The sequence below is a fragment of the Homo sapiens genome, chromosome 5 (assembly GCF_000001405.40).
Source record: "Homo sapiens chromosome 5, GRCh38.p14 Primary Assembly".
NCBI lineage: Eukaryota > Metazoa > Chordata > Mammalia > Primates > Hominidae > Homo > Homo sapiens.
This window is the reverse complement of record NC_000005.10, coordinates 177,241,765-177,263,849: the sequence shown is the minus strand read 5'-3', so window position 1 is coordinate 177,263,849 and position 22,085 is coordinate 177,241,765. Positions and strand designations below refer to the sequence as shown.

General features: G+C 41.0%; 1 protein-coding gene across 12 annotated transcripts in view; it reads right to left on the bottom strand.

The window, feature by feature from the left end:
* NSD1 (nuclear receptor binding SET domain protein 1) overlaps positions 1 to 22,085 on the bottom strand; it is a 168,416-nt gene that overhangs the window by 36,364 nt on the left and 109,967 nt on the right. For 10 of the 12 annotated variants that reach the window (NM_001409301.1, NM_001409304.1, NM_001409305.1 and 7 more), the window contains 6 exons: positions 19,580 to 19,655; positions 17,054 to 17,172; positions 15,526 to 15,669; positions 11,997 to 12,120; positions 6,699 to 6,899; positions 3,682 to 3,861 (listed from right to left, as the gene is read on the bottom strand). In NM_001409301.1, coding sequence (NP_001396230.1) covers positions 3,682 to 3,861; positions 6,699 to 6,899; positions 11,997 to 12,120; positions 15,526 to 15,669; positions 17,054 to 17,172; positions 19,580 to 19,655 — 844 coding nt within the window. Of the gene's footprint in view, positions 1 to 3,681; positions 3,862 to 6,698; positions 6,900 to 9,759; positions 9,871 to 11,996; positions 12,121 to 15,525; positions 15,670 to 17,053; positions 17,173 to 19,579; positions 19,656 to 22,085 lie in introns of all 12 variants that reach the window. The other 2 variants (NM_001409306.1, NM_001409307.1) reach the window with 1 other exon arrangement.

The following is a 22,085-nucleotide window of genomic DNA, read 5'->3' as shown; positions in this document are numbered from 1 at the left end:
GCCATTATTTTGCAGTTCTTTTTCTTGAATTGATAGGCTCACAGTTGTTCATTTTCAAGTAAATGTCTGCCAAATATCCAAGCATGAATAACCATAGTTTATCAGTAACTCTTACAATTAAAAACGGTGTTCCATGAACAATGTGGATAGTTCAGCTTGAAACTCAGTTGCATGAGTGCTTTAACTCAAGATAACCATCAGTATGCAAAGAAACTGCTTTACGTGTACTTCCCACTTCATCACAGAGAATAGAAAAACAATGTTGACTTCATGGACAAGATATAATAAAACTAAGGTGTTTTACTTCAAGAAACTTCTAAGGTGAAACTGCCATGCTTTTACTGCGAGTAGGTGATGATACAGAACACGATGACTGCTTACTTGTATTGGTTTGGAGGTAGTGCCTTGGTTTATACTAAGGTGGCAGCAGTTTTACCAATCCATTGACTGTGTACTAGCTGTCAGATTTCAACTAAGTAAAAAAAGCTTCCAGAATTAACTAAACTCCAGTCTTTGGCTACAGAAACAATATATCTCAAGTAAGGAAAATTCTTCTTTTACAGAATTATTGGCATATACATACACCTGATAATACAAATCTCCTTAGTGATGTGAATTCAAAATATGTCAGACAAGTCTCAACCAATTTAGAAAGTTTATTTTGCCAAGGTGACGATCACGTCCATGACACAACCTCAGGAGATCCTGGCAACATGTGCCTAAGGTGGTGGGGGTACAGCTTGCTTTTATATATTTTAGGGAGATAAGAGACATCAGTATGTGTAACATTGTCATTGGTTCTGATAGGGGGTTGGGGTTCCAGGTCATAAGTAGGTAAAAGACAAAAGGTTGCATTCTTTTGAATCCTTCATCAGCCTTTCACTGAATACACAATTTAATCTGGCTCAGTGAAACTGCATTTTTACATAAATAGGGCAGAGGAAGCAATGAGGTACGCATTTGTCTCAGATGAGCATAGGGATGACTTTCTGTCCCACACCTGTGAAGATAAGCTATCGGTTTCCATTGCCAGGGTGAAATTCAACAGAACAGAGCAATTCTCCTGCCTCAGCTTCCCAAGTAGCTGGGATTACAGGTGTCTGCCATCACGCCTGGCTAAGTTTTGTATTTTTAGCAGAGATGGGGTTTCGCCATGTTGGCCAGGCTGGTCTCGAACTCCTGACCTCAGGTGATCCGCCTGCCTCAGCCTCCCAAAGTGCTGGGATTAGAGGCATGAGCCATGGCGCCCAGCCTTGTAGCTGTATTATTGAGGAATAAAATGGGAGGCAGGTTTGCCTGATGTAGTTCCAAGCTTGACTTTTCCCTTGGCTTAGTGATTTGGGCCTCCTGGGATTTATTTTCCTTTCACAGTGGTATCTATTTTTTTGGTTGTTTTTTGTTTTGTTTTGTTTATGAGGTCAGTCTCGCTATATTGCCCAGGCTGGTCTTGAATTCCTGGGCTCAAGCAATCCTCCCCACCTTGGCCACCTGAATAGCTGGGACTACAGGCATGCACCACCGTGTTCGGCTTCTTTAGTGATATCTTAAGAAAGAGGAAAGAAAAAGAAGGTATTGTTTTCTTGAAGGAAGTCATCTTGCAGGGAAAGTGGGTAATAACAAAGATAATTTTTAGAAGAAAATCAAACAAAATGAGGCAGGCTGCAGAAAAAGTCAGCCCTACAGAGGATTAAAAATGAGACCAGAGACCATTTAAACTTATTTTCTCACTGTGCAAGGGCTTTAATCATATCTTTTCATTTAATTGATGCTATTATAATATGACTGTGTGATAGGGAATAGAGCCTATATTTTATAAACAAGCAAACCAAGCCTTGGTAAAGCAATTTGCCTGAAGAGACAAGCCAGAATTCAAACTTGGACTTTGAGATTCAAAGTACAATGCTCATTCTATTACATATATTGACTCTTTTTAAAATTAGTCCCTCAGAATGTTCAGAGCCAGCCAGGTTTTCAGGAAACTGCATAATCAATAAGTAGATAATAAAAAAATTATTGCCAAGTAACTACTAAATCAACAAAATAAAATCTGAAAATAAATGAGAAAACTGAAGAACTGGTGCCACTCTCATCACTAGAAAATAGTGGAGCAAAGTCCACAATGAACTTAGAAAAATACCATTACAAAATACCAATACCATTACCATGAACTTAGAAAAGTATCATTTACCTTTGTACTAGATATCCTTCTAGTACAAAGGCAAATGATGCCTCAAAGCAGAGAAATGAGCACCTGTGGGATCACAAAAGTTCAGACAACCAAGAGAAAAACTGAAATAACGAATTCAGAACTTTAGGTACTACAATTAACATACTGGTGATGAGTGCTAAAATCTTCCATTTAACTAGCAAAAATCAAGTTGTCAGGGATGATAAGGATAGAAAAGAAAATACGTAAAAGGTTATACTAACTCTGCTCTAAAAAACAAGTATTTTAAAAATGAATAAAATGGCCGGGCACACTGGCTCACGTCTGTAATCCTAGCACTTTGGGAAGCTGAGGAGAGTAGATCAACTGAGGTCAGAAGTTAAGAGACCAGCCTGGCCAACATGGTGAAACCCCATCTCTACAAAAAAAAAAAAAAAAAAAAAAAATTAGTGGGGCATGATGTTGAACGCCTGTAATCCCAGCTACTCAGGAGGCTGAGGCAGTAGAATCGCTTGAACCGGTGGGGGAGGGATGGGGAGTGGCGTGGCAGCAGAGGTTGCAGTGAGCCGAGATTGTACCACTTCACTCCAGCCTGGGTGAAAGTGCTAAGAATAAAATATATAGAAAATTTATCTTTCCTCTACGTGATCTCTTAAGAACTAATATTCTTACAATGAGAAAATATATAACTAAAGTTCACAAATCCCTTCGCTTTTTCCATCACGTTCACTCTTTTTCTATTAATTTGTATAAAATTGCTTGTTAACAAAACACAATTACATGGTAATGCTATTTTCAAGAATTGTTTCTATCTAGGTATCAGACTTTCTATCTGCTGACATGCATGAATGTCTGGAATAATGCCACTTAATATTAAGCAATGATTTTTTTTTTCTGATGGTGAGATTAAGTGAATTTTTGTCTTTACTGCTTCAATTGTTTATCATTTTAACAAAATTCAAGTCATTATTCAAAATAAGAAAAATAAAACCTCTCCCTATTGGGCAACAAAGCCAAGTTTTAAAAAGTTCTGCTGGACAGGCACAGTGGCTCACCCCTGTAATCCCAGCACTTTGGGAGGCCGAGGCGGGCAAATCACTAGAGGGCAGGAGTTTGAGACCAGCCTGGCCAACATGGTAAAACCCTGTCTCTACTAAAAATACAAACAATTAGTCGGGCATGGTGGCGGGCACCTGTAATCCCAGCTACTTGGGAGGCTGAGGCAGGAGAACTGCTTGAACCTGGGAGGTGGAGGCTGCAGTTAGCTGAGATTGTGCCATAGCACTCCAGCCTGGGCAACAGAGTGAAACGTTGTCTCAAAAAAAAAAAAAAAAAAAAAAAAAGTTCTGCTATGTAATCATTAATTCGGGACATCATTTCCTGAATGGCAGATGAATAGTATCATTTCTAATATTTTTTCCAGTGGCAATATGATGAAAAGTATTTTTGTTCCAATTAAAACATTGATTTAATCCCTTTTTAGACTACAAATAGAGGAAGAAATGATTTCTTACCTTCTGAGCACACAAAGCACCAGCTAACATTAACATGCTCATGATTTCGGCAGCCCCGCCTAGGGGTAAAGTGATTAGGGCAGATGATACTATTAGATGCAAGGATCTTTGACCCAGCAGCCAGGCAAAAGTCATTGGCGTGGTATGCCACAGGACAGCGGACACAGCGCATCAACCGACCTAAAGCAGGAAAATCAGGGACAAGCAAAAGAAAAACAAAAATATTAAATATAAAAAGAATGTGAGTTATTCAAGTCTATTTGTTAGCACTGAAAAAATGTCACAAATAGAAGGAATGACCACTAAGATGATGGATCTTAAACACTCGATCCATCAAGAAAACTCAGATGGGAGCTATGTGATAAGTCTCCAAAAGGAATCAAATCCCGTAACTGTCAGTGAGCCTGCTTCAACAAGGGAAAGCCCAACTCAAACCACTGTCCTGACAACTAGGAAATCAGCCCCAGAATAAATAGGGAGAGGGGAGACAACAATAATGCTTGCCTGGAACTCTGTGATTCTTTTAAAGCCTTTCAAGTGAACGAACCTCTCTACCCTCTCCAGAGGAAACACATCCCCTCAAATACTTCATCTATTATAAACCATCACGAAACCACCACCAAACCCTCTAATGCAATCTGTAATAACAATTAAAAACGAGAAGGTAGCCAACTGCAACTCTTTTCATTTTTCTTTGTATTAATAAAGACATGGGGTTTCCCTGTGTTGCCAAGGCTGGACGTGACCTCAAAGTCTGTGTGCTCAAACAGTCTTCCCACTTCCTGCTTTACCTTCCCAAGAAGCTGGAAATACAGGTGTACACCATCACACTCATCGAAACTGCAATTTTGATCCAACAAGTGAAATTACTTATGAGACCCATGAGGCCAGGAAATAATCCTAAAAAAGGTACTGACAGTCTGATTAAAACAAACATCAACACTGCTAAATTTTACCTCCTCAATCCTCTATGGAAAAAGTCAAGGTTCTTTTGGCACACATGAATTCACCAGCAGAGATACAGTATTGGGTTTTTCCAGGCGCGGTGGCTCAAGCCTGTAATCCCAGGACTTTGGGAGGCCAAGGCAGGCAGATCACCTGAGGTCAGGGGTTCCAGAACAGTCTGGCCAACATGGCGAAACCCCGTCTATACTAAAAATATAAAAAGTAGTCGGGAGTGGTGGCAAGCACCTGTAATCCAAGCTACTCCAGGGGCTGAGGCAAGAGAATCTCTTGAACCTGGGAGGTGGACATTGCAGTGAGTTGAGATCACACTGGGCAACAGAGCGAGACCTCCTGTTTTAAAACAAAACAAAACAAACAAAAAAACACATGCTGGGTGCAGTGGCTCATGCCTATAATCCCAGCACTTTGGGAGGCTGAGGCAGGCAGATCACCTGACGTCAGGAGTTCGAGACCAGCCTGACCGATATGATGAAACCCTGTCTCTACTAAAAATACAAAAATTAGCTGGGCATGGTGGCATGTGCCTGTAATCCCAGCTAGTCAGGAGGCTGAGACAGTAGAATCATTTGAACCCAGGTGGTGGAGGTTGCAGTGAGCCAAGATCGAGCCATTGCACTCCAGCCTGGGCAACAAAAGTGAAACTCCATCTCAAAAAAAAAAACAACAACAAACAACAACAACAACAAAAACAACTTGTTTTACCAAAGAGAACACATTTCAAAACTTAAGTTTACCTATATGCACAGACAGTTTTGGAAAACTCAGGTCTCAGCTTAACTATGAAGCAGAAGAAAATTTCTAGGACAAGAGTTTTCATTAAAAAAACAAACAAACAAAAAACAAATCAACACGAAACCCCCAATCCTGCCTTGGCATGCATTTCTGAATGATATCACACTGAAACCAGAGATATAAAAATGGCCGGCCGGGCGCAGTGGCTCACACCTGTAATCCCAGCACTTTGGGAGGCCGAGGCAGGCAGATCACCTGAGGTCGGGAGTTCAAGACCAGCCTGACCAACATGGAGAAACTCTGTCTCTACTAAAAATACAAAATTAGCGAGGCATGGTGGCTCATGCCTGTAATCCCAGCTACTCGGGAGGCTGAGACAGGAGAATCGCTTGAACCCGGGAGGCAGAGGTTGCGGTGAGCTGAGATTGCACCATTGCACTCTAGCCCAGGCAACAAAAGCGAAACTCCATCTCAAAAAAAAAAAAAAAAAAAAAAAAGGCCCAGGGGGGCCACGCGTGGTGGCTCACGCCTGTAATGCCAGCACTTTGGGAGGCTGAGGTGAGTGGCTCACGAGGTCAGGAGATCGAGGAGACTGGGTGACAGAGCAAGACTCCGTCTCAAAAAAAAATAAAATAAAATAAAATAAAATAAAAAAAAAGCCCAGGGGAAGACTACACTCTGGTTTTCTAATCAATAGGGGGAAGAGGACATGCAGCAGAACACTTTCTCAAACTACATCTCACATGAAATCCAAATATTTAATACCCTACCACACGACCACATTGTGTTCTATGGAGCCCTGGCATTGCCTGGCTGCTGAACTAGTTCGTTATGCCCCTCTTCTCTCCCAAATACAATGTTGGTAATCTCTCTGATAAAAGCTAGAGAGAGGCCATAAAGTGACATGGTGGATTGATTGCATTTGAAAATATCTGTTGCCGGCCGGGCGCAGCGGCTCACGCCTGTAATCCCAGCACTTTGGGAGGCCGAGGCAGGTGGATCACGAGGTCAGGAGATCGAGACCATCCTGGCTAACACGGTGAAACCCCGTCTCTACTAAAAATACAAAAAAATTAGCCAGGCATGGTGGCAGGCGCCTGTAGTCCCAGCTACTCAGGAGGCTGAAGCAGGAGAATGGCGTGAACCCAGGAGGCGGAGCTTGCAGTGGGCCAAGATCACGCCACTGCACTCCAGCCTCGGCAACACAGCGAGACTCTGTCTCCAAAAAAAAAAAAAAAAAAAGAAAGAAAAAAGAAAATATCTGTTGCCAATTAAACTGAGGTTTTACAATTAGACTGGTCCACATAAGAAATCCATACCTTTAGATGCAGAAACATTGGCTGGATTAGCAGCATGACAGGTTATACAGATGTGGAGGGAGCACCGGAAGCCCTTGTTCTGCATAACAGTGGGTGGGTACTTCTGGACACACTCTTCATGGTAAAACTTTCCACACAAGGGTAGAAGGCACCTTTTAACATCTTCCCCACTCTGCTTACATACAAAACAGGTATGGATTCCTGAGAAGCCAAAAGAAGATAAATTAGTAAGAATTCAAGAATCTACCAAATGCTAAACCATTAGGTGAAAAGTTCATAAGAAATTTTATAATGGACTGATCGGTTTGACATCGTCTGAACCCACTGTAACAATCTTAGTATTATTATAAATGAACAATCTGGTAATAGATACTCCCTGACGTGATACAACAGAAAGTACATATTGTCTACAGAAAATGCTTGCCGCTGGCACCCCCGCCAAAAAAAGAAAAAACTGAAATTAAACCTAATCAAGCCCCTGGACTAACTACAAGTTTACAGGAAATATGGATGACAGAGGAACAAGTTAAGGGGATACCTCCAGGAGGCAACCAACGAAATTTAAGTTGGGCTGGGAGAGGAGGCTCACGCCTACAATCCCAGCACTTCAGGAGGCTGAGGTGAGTGGCTGGCTTGAGTCCAGGAAGTCGAGGCCAGCCCAGGCAACGTGGCAAAACTCCATCTCTACTAAACATACAAAAATTAGCTGGGCGTGGTGATGCATGCCTGTGGTCCCAGCTACTCAAGAGGCTGAGGCAGGAGGATTGCTTGAGCCTGGAAGGTGGAGGTTTACTGAGCTGAGATCACACCAGTGCACTCCAGCCTGGGTGATAAGAGTGAGACCCTGCCTCAAAAAAAAAAAAAAAAAAAAAAAAAGTGTGGGGGCAGTATTGTTAAAGATAAGTAGAAACTTAAGAGATGTATAAAAAAGTTTACACTACAGGAAATCACCCGACATACAATGCTGGTAATCTCCCTAACAAAACCTACAGAGACGTTTTTGGCCTCTCTCTGGATCTAGATCTTGATTCAAAACATAATAAAAAGACATCCCTGAGACAAATGAGAAAATTTGAAAATGAACTGGCTGGTAGATGACACAAAGAAGTTATTACATATTCTCGCTATACATTAGATGTTGTGTTAGAAACCTTTTGAAATATAGGGAGAAAATGAGAGAGAAGTTGATAACTACTGAAATTAACTGAATACATGGAGATTCTTTACATTGTTCTACCCTGGTGTATGTCTTAAGATTTTTGTAATAAAAAGTCAAAAACCACCCAGAAGCAATGTACTCAGCACTTGGGAGGCTAAGGCAATTGGATCACTGGAGGCCAGGAATTTAAGCCTAGCCTGGGGAACATAGTGAGACACCGTCTCTACTAGAAATACAAAACAATTAGCTGGGTGTGGTGGCAGGCGCCTATAATCCCAACTAATACAGAGGCTGAGGCACGAGAATCTCTTGAACCTGGGAGGTGGAGGTTGCAGTGAGCTGAGATCACACCACCGAACTCCAGCCTGGGCCACAGAAGGAGACTGTCTCAGAAAAACAAAACAAAAAAACAAAAAAACAAAACAAAACAAAAACCACAGACCTCTATCTCTCTGTGAGATGCAGTACAACATAAGAAAAAGAGCCTAAGCTTGACAGGTAAACAGACCTCAACATGAATCCTCCTACAGGTAATTGCTGGAAACGGCTCATTCAAATCATCCATTTTATCTATAAACACTGAGAACATCCAGCAAATAAATATTTTAAGAACAATATTTGAATATGTATTTGTAAACAGGGAAAACACTACCTGATGCTGAATAACTGGTAACTTTTTTTTTTTTTTGAGACTCAATCTCCCTCTCTCGCCCAGGATGGAGTGCAGTGGCATGTTGTCAGCTCACTGCAACCTCCACCTCCTGGGATCAAGCAATTCTCGTGACTTAGCCTCCCAAGTATGTGGGATTACAGGCACCCACCGCCATGCCTGGCTAATTTTTATATTTTCAGTAGAGACAAGGTTTCACCACATTGGCCAGGCTGGTCTCAAACTTCTGACCTTAAAAAATCCGCCCACCTTAGCCTCCCAAAGTGCTGGGATTACAGGCGTGGTAGCTATTATTAAACCTAAGCAATCTAAACAATGATGTGACCACCCTATTGCAGGAAAATAGGGTGAGCCAAGAGCACTAATAAGTGACTCCCATTTCTTACACTGTACCAAAACTGGTAAAATGTCCTACTCTCAAAGATAATAGCTTTCCTAGGAAAAAGAGAAAAAAACCCACAAATTTAAAAAACCAAAAATAAAAAAATTCTATCTTCTCTATACCTCATGTCATATGCAAAACTTTAATACAAAACACATCACAGACCTAATAGTGAAATGTGAAACTAAAAAATTCTATGAAGAAAACACAGAACTAAAAATCTTTGTGACACTGGTTGGACGTGGTGACTCACACCTGTAATCCCAGCCCTTTGGGAGTTTGGGAGGCCAAAGCAGGTGGATCATCTGAGGCCAGGAGTTTGAGAACAGCCTGGCCAACATGGTGAAACCTCGTCTCTACTAAAAATGCAAAAATTAGCTGGGCATGGTGGTGCACGCCTGGTATCCTTGCTACTCGGGAGACTGAGGCACAAGAATCGCTTGAACCCAGGAGGTGGAGGTTGCAGTTAGCTGAGATCACGCCACTGCACTCCGGCCTGGGTGACAGAGTGAGACTCTGTCGCAGATTAAAAAGAAAAAAAACAACAACGAAACTTTGTGACACTGGGTTAAGCAAAACTTCTTAGCTATGACAGCAAATCACAGTCCATAAAAAGAACAAATTGATAAACTGGATTTCAAAAAATTAAGAACTATTAGTCTTACAAATACATCACTAAGAATATGAAAAAGTTGGCCAGGTGCAGTGGCTCATGCCTGTAATCCCAGCACTTTGGGAGGCCAAGGAGAGTGGACCACCTGAGGTCAGGAGTCCGAGACCAGCCTGACCAACAGGAGAAACCCCGTCTCCACTAAAAATCCAAAAATTAGCCAGGAGTGGTGGCACATGCCTGTAATCCCAGCTACTTGGGAGGCTGAGGCAGGAGACTTGCTTGAACCCAGGAGGCGGAGGTTGCCGAGACTGCGCCATTGCACTCGAGCCCGGGTGACAGTGCAAGACTCTGAAAAACAAAAACAAAAACAAAAACCGAAAAAAGAAAATGTGGCCAGGAATTGTGTGTTACACCTATAATCCCAACACTTTCAGAGGCTGAACGAGGAGGACTGCTTGATCCCAGGACTTCAAAACCAGCCTGGTAATAATGTAATAAAATCCTGTCTCTACAAAAATATTTTAAAAAATTAGCCAGGCATGTGGCAAGCACCTGTAGTCCCAGCTACTAAGGAGGCTGAGCCAGAAGGATAGCTTGAGCCTGGGAGGTTGAGGCTGAAGTGAGCCAGAATCATATCACTGTACTCCAGACTAGGCGACAGAGAGAGACCCTGTCTCAAGGAAAAAAAAGAAAAATGGGAGGGGGAGGGAAGGGGCAGGGAGGGTACAAAGTGTCCAAAAACTTGAATGTTCTCAGCAGCTTTATTTATAATAACCAAAACGGGAAACAACCCAAATGTCTATCAACAGATGAATGGATCAACAACCAAGTAAATCCATACAACAAACTACTACTCAGCAATAAAAAGAAATGAACTATCAATACACACAACAACCTGACTGAATCTCAAAATAATAATGCTGAGTGATGATTTCACAGATGCATACATATACACATACCAAAATTTATCAACTCATAGGCCTGAAATATGTGCAATTGTTTGCACTTCAATTTTACCTTAATAGAGCTGTTTTACACACTCAAAATGATTTTTCTCTTGACCCTATAATATCCTCCCTTTAGGTACTGTCTTCCTTTCTGCTGAAGTCAAGTTTCTTCAAGAAGTTATGTATACGGCTATCCACTCACCCTTCAATCTAGTGTAATGAGACATCCTCTGGCAAAAATTGAAGCATTTTCTCACTGCCACATACAAAAGCCTCTCTTCACTCCAGAACCTCCTTAGTATCTTTGCTGCATCTGCCCCTACAGATAACACCTGACTCCTGTGGCTTCAGAGATATTGACTAGCTCCTCCTCTCCTTCCAGTAACTCGTTATAAGAGCATATACGCCCAGGTAGTGTCACTGACCATTATCCTACCCTAATGACACTTTTTCTTTGGGAAGTATCATCCAGATGTGCAGCTTCAATGACTTACAGGCATAAGATCTATACCTCAGCCCTGATTTCTTCACTGTTTACATGCTGTAACATCTACACATCATGCTAAGAAAAAAAAAAAAAAAAGGGAGAGAGAGAGCGAGAGAACACTTTCCAGCCTGGGCAACATAGTAAGACCCCCTTTCTCAACAAAAAATAAAAAAAATTGCCCACGCATGGTGGCAAGTGGTTGCAGTCCCAGCTACTTGGGAAGCTGAGTTGGGAGGATTGCTTGAGCCCAGGAGCTCAAGACTACAATGAGCTATGATCACGCCACTGTACTCAAACCTGGACAACAAGACCTCATCTCTTATTAAAAAAAAAAAAAAAAAAAAAAAAAAAAAAGAACACTTTACTTTAGCGCAGCTTTATGAAGTGCTTTACCAGCTGGTCTCAGCTGACTATTCCTATTTTCTAACCCAATCTAAGCATTATAACCCGCAAATAATCTTTTTACTTTTTTGGTAAATATTTTTATCGATGTATAATGTACACACCATAAAGTACACGCATCCTAAGAGTATAGTTGATGAAGTAAACATGCTCATGTAATCACTACGCAGATTAAGAAATATAAAATATTACCAGTAACCAAGAAGCCCTCTTAGTTACTGCCTATGCCTTTTACCTAAAATATCCTAAACTCTATAAACACATTGGCCTGTATTCCATATTCCCCAAATGTTTTACACGCTTTCATTACTAGACCTTCTGCACTTCCCCTCCCGACATCAATTTCTCTTTCTCTCTTAAAGCTAAACACAGATATCTTCCTCTATGGCATCAGCTCATCTTTGCTTACATTACATTCTAAATGTATCACCAACACAATGCTTTTTGCACTGTATTATGCTACCCATTTATTATTCACTTGGTAGCTTTTCTGAAAGCAGTGACCCCACAGCACCATTTCTATATCTGTAACAACTAGCCCAGTGTTGCCACAAAATAGTGTCTCCAATAAATGTCTTTCCTGAAAAACTTAAAATTCAAACTTTCTTTGGAGGAAGACCGTTCGATATCTACTTTACCTGTGCGACATTCATTGCAGATAAATTTTCCTCTTGGCATCTCAGTCAATCCAAGGCACTCCAGGTGGAAAGCCCCACAGCACTGAGCCTCACATAACAGCAGCTCACCCAATTTTTCACAATTCTGTTAAGAGAAAGAAAACATCTATCTGTTTTTCCATGTTTGAGAATCAAGAGTAAAACCAGTGTCAGTGGGTTAAAGTAAACAAAGGTTAAAAGTGGCAGAAAAGGAGGTGAGAAAGAGGCAAGGGCCCGTAGTTGTAGATTTTAGTCTAGTTACAAAGGTGTACCATTGGAGAGCTTTAACAAAGGAAAGCTAAAATCAGGTATTCATTTTTAAAAAGACTGTTCTGACTGCTACATGGAAAACGAGTTCAAGAGTAGAAAGGTCAGAAAAGAGCATAGAGATAAACCAGAAAGCTACTGAATGGTTCAAGCAACAGACACTGGCTAGCTAGAGTTGGATCATAAAGTTCCAAAAGAGCTCCCACCAAGGTCTAAACAGCCCTTTTGGGACATACCTACAACCATCCCAGAGAGAGATCACTTTTCTGAAATAATCTCAGCTAAGATAGGGCCTCACTTAAGACAGGCGCTTAGGAAATAACAATGGGCATCTGTCACTATAAAACATTGTAAGATTTATCAATTTTTTTTTTTTTTTGAGAGGAAGTCTTGCTCTGTCGCCCAGGATGGAGTACAATGGCGCAATCTTGGCTCACTGCCACCTCTGCCACCCGGGTTCAAGTGATTCTCCTGCCTCAGCCTCCCGAGTAGCTGGGATTACAGGCATGCGCCACCATGCCCAGCTAATTTTTGTATTTCTAGTAGAGATGGGGTTTCACCACGTTGGCCAGGCTGGTCTCAAACTCCTCACCTCATGATCCACCCACCTTGGCCTCCCAAAGTGCTGGGATTACAGGTGTGAGCCACCGCACCCAGCCCAAATATTTTTAAAGCCTTGTACTACTATGAAAAGCAAACAAGGGGAAAGGTGACTAAGTAAGTTTTAGCTTCAAGAACTCATAGAAACAGAATAGGTCTTGATCACTTAAGAATCAAAGCTTAAATAAAAAACAGGACAGCTTTAGGGAGAAAGGTTAGAGAGGTAGCCTGGAATTGATAGGGGAACTCAGGGACTTTATCAACCTATAGTCTGAGATATCCTCAAATGTCTGACTCCCCATTATCTACTATTCACATATAAAAACTGAAAAATAGCACTATATATTGTACTTTGCATATTCAGAGTGCCAATAACGTTTCTATATATGGTAAAAAAAAAAAAAAACTGACCTTCAGCACTTAAATAGGAAAACGTTAATTACAACGTGAATTAGAAATAAAGTTTTTGCATTAACTAAATGTTATAGACTAATTATTCAACTGGGATAACCACGTAATTTATCTTTCAAACCGGGACACCTGAGAGTGAAAAGAAGTGCTATTAATAAATTGTGACAGCACAAGGGACCTACACAAAGACTGATCCAGACAAGCCAGGACCACAGGGTCACCTTACCTTTAACCTTTTCATTAAATGATCTTTGTAAAATGTATTTACACTCTGACTTGTCTCACTAAGTAAATAATGGGCATAACTGTTTTTGAGGATTAAGACTGTTGTTTGGGATCTGGTCCAAGAATGTAATAGTGAAGATAATAGGCAAAGAAACTGGATTGAAATTATATTGGCCACAATAACATTTTCTGGTCTGAGTTTACTTTTTTAGAGATCTCAACTTATTTATCTATTACTATTTATTATTTGTGAGATAGGGTCTCAGTCACCCAGGTGGGAGTGCAGTGGCATGACCATGGCTCACTAAAGCCTCTACCTCCCCAGCTTCAGGTGATCCAATGACCTCAGCCTCCCCAGCAGGGGAATTACAGGCACGAACTGTCATGCCTGGCTAATTTTTGTATTTTTGGCAGAGACAGGGTTTTACCATGTTGCCTGGCTGGTCTCAAATTCCTGGGCTCAAATGATCCACCCACCTCAGCCTCACAAAGTGCTGAGATTAGTGCTGTGCTTGGCCTATGGTTTCAATTTAAAAAAGAAGAACTGGCCGGGCGTGGTGGCTCACGCCTGTAATCCCAGCACTTTGGGAGGCCGAGGCGGGCAGATCACGAGGTCAGGAGATCGAGACCATCCTCGCCAACACGGTGAAACCCCATCTCTACCAAAAAATACAAAAAATTAGCTGGACATGGTGGCGGGTGCCTATAGTCCCGGTACTCAGGAGGCTGAGGCAGGAGAATGGGAGGCTGAGGCAGGAGAATGGCGTGAACCCAGGAGGCGGAGCTTGCAGTGAGCAGAGATCGCGCCACTGCACTGCAGCCTGGCCGACAGAGCGAGACTTCGTCTCAAAAATAAATAAATAAATAAATAAATAATTAATTAATAAAAAAGAAAAAAGAAAAACTAACATCCTCAAGTTTTTTGTTTATTTAAAAGACAAGTCTGTAATCTTGACCTGTTGGGCTACAGGTATGAGCCACTACAGCTGGCTAATTTAAAAAAAAGACAAATTTTTTAAAAATAGAGACAGGGGTCTCGCTGTGCTGCCCAGACTGGTCTAGAACTCCTGGCCTCAAGCAATCCTGCTGCCTCAGCTTCCAGAAGCACTGTGATTGTAGGTATGAGCCACTGCGCATTGCCTAACTTCAAGTTTGTATATACTAAATTTTAAGAATTACATAGGTAAATCAAGACCATTAAAAATATATATATTCAAATGGTCATTGACTCTACTCACAAAGACTTCAAGTCTCTAACAATAAAGTGGAATCCCCTATCTCACAGAGAGGCAATCCAACAAAATGGTTAAGACTCTAAACCAACCAAGTCCAACGGAGCTTAAAGGTTAGAAAAACGGAGAGGGAGACTCTAAATCCAGACTGCCGAAGTTTAAATCCAGGCTTCTCTCATGAATATAAACAAGCTATTTATCCTCTCTGTAATTTAGTTTCCTCATCTGCAAAATGGGAATAATCATAGAACTCTACTTATGAGATTATTAGGATGACTAAATAATGTAATATTTATAAAGTGCTTGGAACAATACTTCATACATAGTAAATACTCTACAAATATTTATTAAATAAATAAAACAATATAGGTGGTAGGCTTTCTAAAGTCACCACATTAAAGGAAAAACATCTCAAAGCTAAAATTACCCTTGAAAAGTTTCTTACAAACCCAAAGATTGTGACACCATGAGAAGTACTGGAGAATTATATTTGAATAAGCAACCAGAGATTCACATATTCCATCTCAGACTTGTTTCGCGGCATATATTCCTTCATGGGCCTTAAGGGCACGTGGTTCACCAACACTAAACTATTTCTCCAAGTATCTTTCTTTGTGGGGAGAAAAAAAGGGGTCAAATCCTTAAAGAAAGTGACTCCACTGGAATCATCCAAAAGCATTGTTATTCTACCAAGAAACCATCATAAAGAGATGGAGTGGGTTTCCCTTTAAAGATGAACATGCAATGAAAACACAAGTGGGCAAACATTTCTCTACCTGACAGACATTCTCCTTGAGTGCAGCTCCTCCACCGCGTTCACCCTGCATTTTTTTAGAGGCAGGCATCCCGGGATCGTGTTCTACACCTTCCTCAACAGTCTCCTTGGGGCTTGTGGCCGTCCTGTGAGGCATTAGTTCTCCCTTGCAAAGAAAAAATAATGTCCCACATCTGTATTATTGATGTCTCTTCCATTTGACCCCCTCCCTCTGGGCTGCTATTTGTCTAGCCATTAAGCACTTACAGATGTTCAGCCAATCACTCGGGCGGACTGCATGCAATGTTAGTTCTAACCCTGCTGTGATTGGGCGGGTAGTGGGCGCCTCATGCCCTGCCACTAACTGCTCTGAGGCTGTTTGTTCCACTGGAACTTTCTGAGCTGTTCCATTTTAAGGTTTCACTAAGGGAGAGAAAACATTCTTAAGTTTATTTGATTACTTATTTGTCCTTCCAAGATCAGTGTTTCCTAAATAATGCCCCTCTTGGGCATTCTATTCAAATTGTCCTGGAAAGAAACATTCTGCATCATAATGTGTGATGCTGACCTGACTTCTCTCTTTTAACCTGAGTTGGAAACCCGAAGATAATATCAATGATTGCACTGATGCTTTGCAAGTAAATGGTTTTAAATCTTTTGTTTCCTGAAGGCCGATATTCATAAAAATTGTCCTAAGATTAAGTAGCTGATGGTCTCAAGAAATAAGCAAGTAAATCTTCCCGCTAACCACAGCAGTCTCGATTTTTTTTTTTTTTTTTTTAAGTAGAGACAAGGTCTCACTGTATTTCACAGGTTGGTCTCGAAATCCTGTTCTCATATGATCCTCCCACCTCAGCCTCCCAAAGAGCTGAGTGGCATGAGCCACAACGCCCAGCCAGCAGTCTCAATTTTTTTCTTTTGCAACAGAGTCTCATTCTGTCACCCAGGCTGGAGGGCAGTGGCATGATTTCGGCTCACTACAACCTCTGCCTCAAGGGTTCAAGTGATTCTTGTGCCTCTGCCCGATTAGCTGGAATTATAGGCGCATGCCACCACACTCAGGTAATTTCTGTATTGTTAGTAGAGATGAGGTTTCACCATGTTGGCGAGGCTGGTCTCGAACTCTCAACCTCAAGTTATCTTCCCGCCTCGGCCTCCCAAAGTGTTGGGATTACAGGCGTGAGCCACAGCACCTGGCCAGTCTCAACTTTTATAGGACAGTATCTATGTTCCTTCAGATCATATGTTGACTTGATATTGTACTCTCCGGTTTTACAAGTTTACTTAACGATGAAACACTTATATACCTGATTGGACACCTACAGCATAGGATGTGATGATCTTTTAAAAAGACCATATTGACAGCTGCAATACATGCCTTGCCTTATTATTAGGATAAGGCTCTACTTTTCCTCCAAGATTCCTTATGGCCATCAGCCATTTCAGTAGAATAGTATTCTTAAGAAAACTCAAGGGAAAGAGGGATGTGGCCTCTGGCGTGAAAAGTAGCTTCTCTTTAGAAGGTGAAAAGATCAGGAACTGAGTAATACCTCTGAGCCTGGAATCTCTTTTGACGAGTCATCATTTTTCACTTTTTTACACTGCATCTTGGCTGCAGCATGCCTCTGTCGTTTTCGCTTCCTTGGCTTGTCAAATATCTTGGTAGTGCCTATGACAGGAAAATAGGTGTTAACTGCTGGCTACTAACACACATGTCCAAAATCTCTTATCCTATTATTAGAATAAAAACCAACCTTAAAACTCATTTAATTCTCCAGCTTTGTGGATTAGGAAAACGGGGGAAATAATAATTGAGACTAACTCATGATGACATAACAAGAAGGGAAATGGCTACATATATGTAACTGCTCCCTCATATAGATTAAATAGTAAGTGTATAGGTTATTACAGAAATTTTAATTTATATGATTGAAATGACAAATCTTGTAGTTCTTCAAAGGAATTAAATCCTATAGATGAAGGGGAAATGCATTTTACTAGTCATCAAAAGATACCACTCCCTAGACTTCAAGACTGGAGACAATAATACAAATCACTATATGATTTAAAGATTAAGGACTGGGCACCGTGGCTCAAGCCTGTAATCCCAGCACTTTGAGAGGCTGAGGCCGGCAGATCACATGAGGTCAGGAATTTGATACCAGCCTGACCAACATAGTGAAATCCTGTCTCTACTAAAAATACAAAATTAGCCAGGCATGGTGGTGCATGCCTGTAATCCCAGCTACTCAGGAGGTTGAGGCAGGAGAATCACTTGAAACCAGGAGGTAGAGGTTGCAGTGAGCCGAGATCATGCCACCGCACTCCAGCCTGGGTAACAAGAGCGAAACTCCATCTCAAAAAAAAAAAAATAAATAAAAAAAATAAAAGGATTAAGATGGAGGGTTGAGGCTGGGCAGGGTGGCTCATGCCTGTAATCCCAGCACTTTGGGAGGCCAAGGTGGACAGATCACGAGGTCAGGAGATCAAGACCATCCTGGCCAACATGGTGAAACCCTATCTCTACTAAAAATACAAAACAAATTAGCCAGGCGTGAGGGAGTACATCTGTAGTCCCAGCTACTCAGGAGGCTGAGGCAGGAGAATCGCTTGAACCTGGGAGGTGGAGGCTGCAGTGAACCGAGATTGTGCCACTGTACTCCAGCCTGGGCAACAGAGCCAGACTCCATCTCAAACCAAAAAAAAAAAAAAAAGAAAGAAATTCTTCTAGTCCCTCCTGCACTTTCTGTTAAACACATTTCAACTGTGTTATAGAAACATAAAGAGGAATCTAAGAGGTATTTCATAAAACATTTAGGATATCTGTGCTAGTTAACAGTATGAAAGCTGGAGTTTTGAAGACTGCCTCAGTGAGCTCTTTTTTGACTGCCTGATTGAGTTGGAGAAGCTCTGCCATCAAAACTGCTCGCAGCCTAACACTAAAAGAAGAGTTAATATGAGCACAATAGAAAGATTTGAAATTCTCATGAGCTGGAACACTTAACACAAAATTTATAATGGATAAAGTTCATGTTGTAGGTTTTATTTTAAAAACGAAATATAAAAATACAGGAAAAGAGCTGTTGTTATTATTATTACTACTATTATTTTAAGAGACATGGTCTCGCATTGTTGCCCAGGCTACAGTGCCTGGTGTGAGCAACAGCTCTCTGTAGCCTCAACCTCTCGGGTTCAAGGGATCGTTCCTTGAACATGTTAAGCTACATGTCAGCTTAACAAGTAGCTGTGACTACAGAAATACACCACCATGCCTAGCTCATTTTTTTAAACTGTAGATAGAGACAGGGTCTCACTAAGTGCCGAGCCTGGTCTGGATGGAACACCTGGCCTCAAGTCATCCTCTTATCTTGGCCTCCAAAGCACTGAAATTGCAGTTGTGGGCCACCATGAACGGCCTGATATTATTTTGAAAGCAGCTTATTTTTAAATCTTACAAGCAAATTGACCAACCTATGGGATTACAATTGTCACATAGCTAAAATAAGCTAACATGTTGCTAGATTTACTTGTTAGAAAATTTAATAATCGTAGGCCACATGAAATATAATCTTCCCATGATACTCTTTGCTAGCAGACCACATCTGTTGCAGTGTGCTCAAATCTGGAATAATATTTCAAAAATGACACTAATCAATAAATGGCATTGGCAGACAAATGAAGAGTGGAAGAAAGAAGTGGCATGGAGAAAACCTGGGGTGGATAAGAAGACAGGAGTATGACCATGAAATTGGTCAGGTGTGGATTTAGTTCCCTGACCTTGCTACCTTGTTCATCTTCACATTTCTTCTATAAAACAGGAATACTATAGATAATAACCTAACTCTCTGTAACGCTTTAGAGAGATTACAGGTAGCATTCCTACTAAAAGTCCTGGTAGAGTAGATATTCAATTTATCAATATTTTTTCTTTTTCAGGAAGCAGATTTTGGGCAAACCAGTTTTAAAACTTGTACCTCACTGGTCGGGCTTACACATGTAACAATTTTTGTGGTTAACAGACAAAGCACTTCAAACTTACTACTGCATTACGTTTTTTAAATCTCAAAAATACTCACCTCCACCAAAATCTTTTGAATAAGATGTGGCACAAGATTCAGTTATGCCATTCTCCAGGTGACCAGCTTCATAGCACTATAAATAAGTGAAAACAACACCATTTACAGAGGAATGAAAAAATAAACCCTTTACTTTATATGCCAAAGTCTGAATTGTCAGCTGCCATGGATATTGAATTTTGACTTGTTTTAGCAATTAAAGAAATCAACCTGACCACAGTAAAGGGTTGAACGGAAACTTCAGGGGGAAAGGAATCAGATTTTAAAATGCTCCAACAGACAGGGCATGATGGCTCACACCTGTAATCCTAGCACGTTAGGAGGCTGAGGCGGGTGGATCACCTGAGGTTGAGAGTTAAAGACCAGCCTGACCAACATGGAGAAACCCCATCACTACTAAAAATACAAAATTAGTCAGGTGTGGTGGCACATGCCTGTAATCCCAGCTACTCAGGAGGCTGAGGCAGGAGAATTGCTTGAACTTGGAGAGGCAGAGGTTGCAGTGAGCCAAGATCGCACCACTGCACTCCAGTCTAGGCAACAAAAGCGAGACTCCATCTTAAAACAAAACAAAAACAATGCTCCAACAGACCTGTGAACACCACCTACTCCTTAAGAAAAAATAAAGACTTGCCAGAGATTTCCAACATATAGACTAGATACACAATGCTTTCTGTGACTGAAATGGATGGAGAAAGAGAAGGGGTATGTACCCAGAGATCCACAGGCTCAATTTTATTGCACTCCACCCTGTACTTAAAATCCATCTTCATGGCTGGGTGCAGTGGCCCATGCCTGTAATCTCAGCACTTTGGGAGGCCGAGGGGGGCAGATCACCTGAGGTCAGGAATTTGAATCCAGCCTGGCCAACCATGGCCAATATGGTGAAACCCCGTTTCTACTAAAAATTATACAAAAATTAGCTAGGTGCAGTGGCACATGCCTGTAATCCCAGCTACTCGGGAGGCTGAAGCAGGAGAACTGTTTGAACCCAGGAGGCGGAGGTTGCACTGAGCCAAGATCGCGCCACTGCACTACAACAGCCTGGGAGACAGAGCAAGTCTCAAAAAAAGAAAGAAAGAAAGAAAGAAAAATAACCCATCTTCCTACAATTGTATTCACAGCTATTAGATTTGACAGAGACCTGTTTACCTGGTGAACTGTAAATTAAACAGTTCTGAAATACTGAATGACATTCCAACTTAAAATGACTTCAGATTAATCCAAATTAAAGCAACATTAAAACTCAAAACAAATACTCAACATCAGGAGTCTAATCAAGAGCCACACATTTTATTCACCTCACCCACTACTAATATACTTCTATGAATTAGTTCCACCCCAAGCAAATGTCTTTTCCTACAAGAATGATGATATTCTTCATCATAACTGTAAAACAACATTTAGTGGTCACAAAAAGTTAGCATAGTAAAGGCCATTCTGGCTGGGCACGGTGGTTCACACCTGTATTCCCAGCATTTTGGGGGGCCGAGGCAGGCGGATCACCTGAGGTCGGGAGTTCGAGACCAGCCCGACTACCATTGAGAAACCCTGCCTCTACTAAAAATACAAAAAATTAGCCAGGCATGGTGGCACATCCCTGTAATCCCAGCTACTTCGGAGGCTGGGGTAGGAGAATCGCATGAACCTGGAAGGTGGAGGTTGTGGTGAGCCGAGATTGTGCCATTGCATTCCAGCCTAGACAACAAAAGCAAAACTCTGTCTCAAATAAATAAATAAATAAATAAATAAATAATAAAGGCCATTTTTGTTGTAGAGTTCCTAATGTTTGGAAGTAAAACAAGATAAAATACAGCTGTGAATTTCTGAATGCTCATTTTATCATATTAATAAATCATAAGACTGCAATTCTCCTCACGTTCACTATATATCAGAAGTCTATTTCAAGTAAAATGAATGGGCAAATGTCAGGTATCCAATTCAACAAAACGAGACTCCTAGACAAATCCACAAAATACATTTCTGTAATTTTTTTTAAAATAGCAATCATTTTATTTAGATAACAAATTAGTTCATTGTTTAACAGTTACCCAAAAGCTGTGGAACAAAATAATTACAATGCTCCCCAAACTACAGTCAGAGAATAATGCAGGAAATAGTCTCATTTCTATTATGATCAATTTTATAACTTAAAATAAAAATTAACAGCACACACACACACACATGCACACACACAACAATCATACCATATGAATAAAAATCAAACTATTCTGTTTAGAATGAAAAAGACCAAAGAACTTCTTAGAGGATGTGACTAAGATGCCAGTAACTTACTTTGTATATATAGTCTAGTGTGGATATACATTAAGCCAGAGTACCCTTAAAGCACTACCAGAACAGATCAATCTCTCATTCTGTTTGACATACTGATTAATCCACCTGCAGACAGGGTGGTGGTGTGCCTGGTAAACTAAAATGGAACTGAATCATGGCTTTAGCCTTATGACAAAATATACCTCAGAGTAACCAGGACTTCAACAATGAA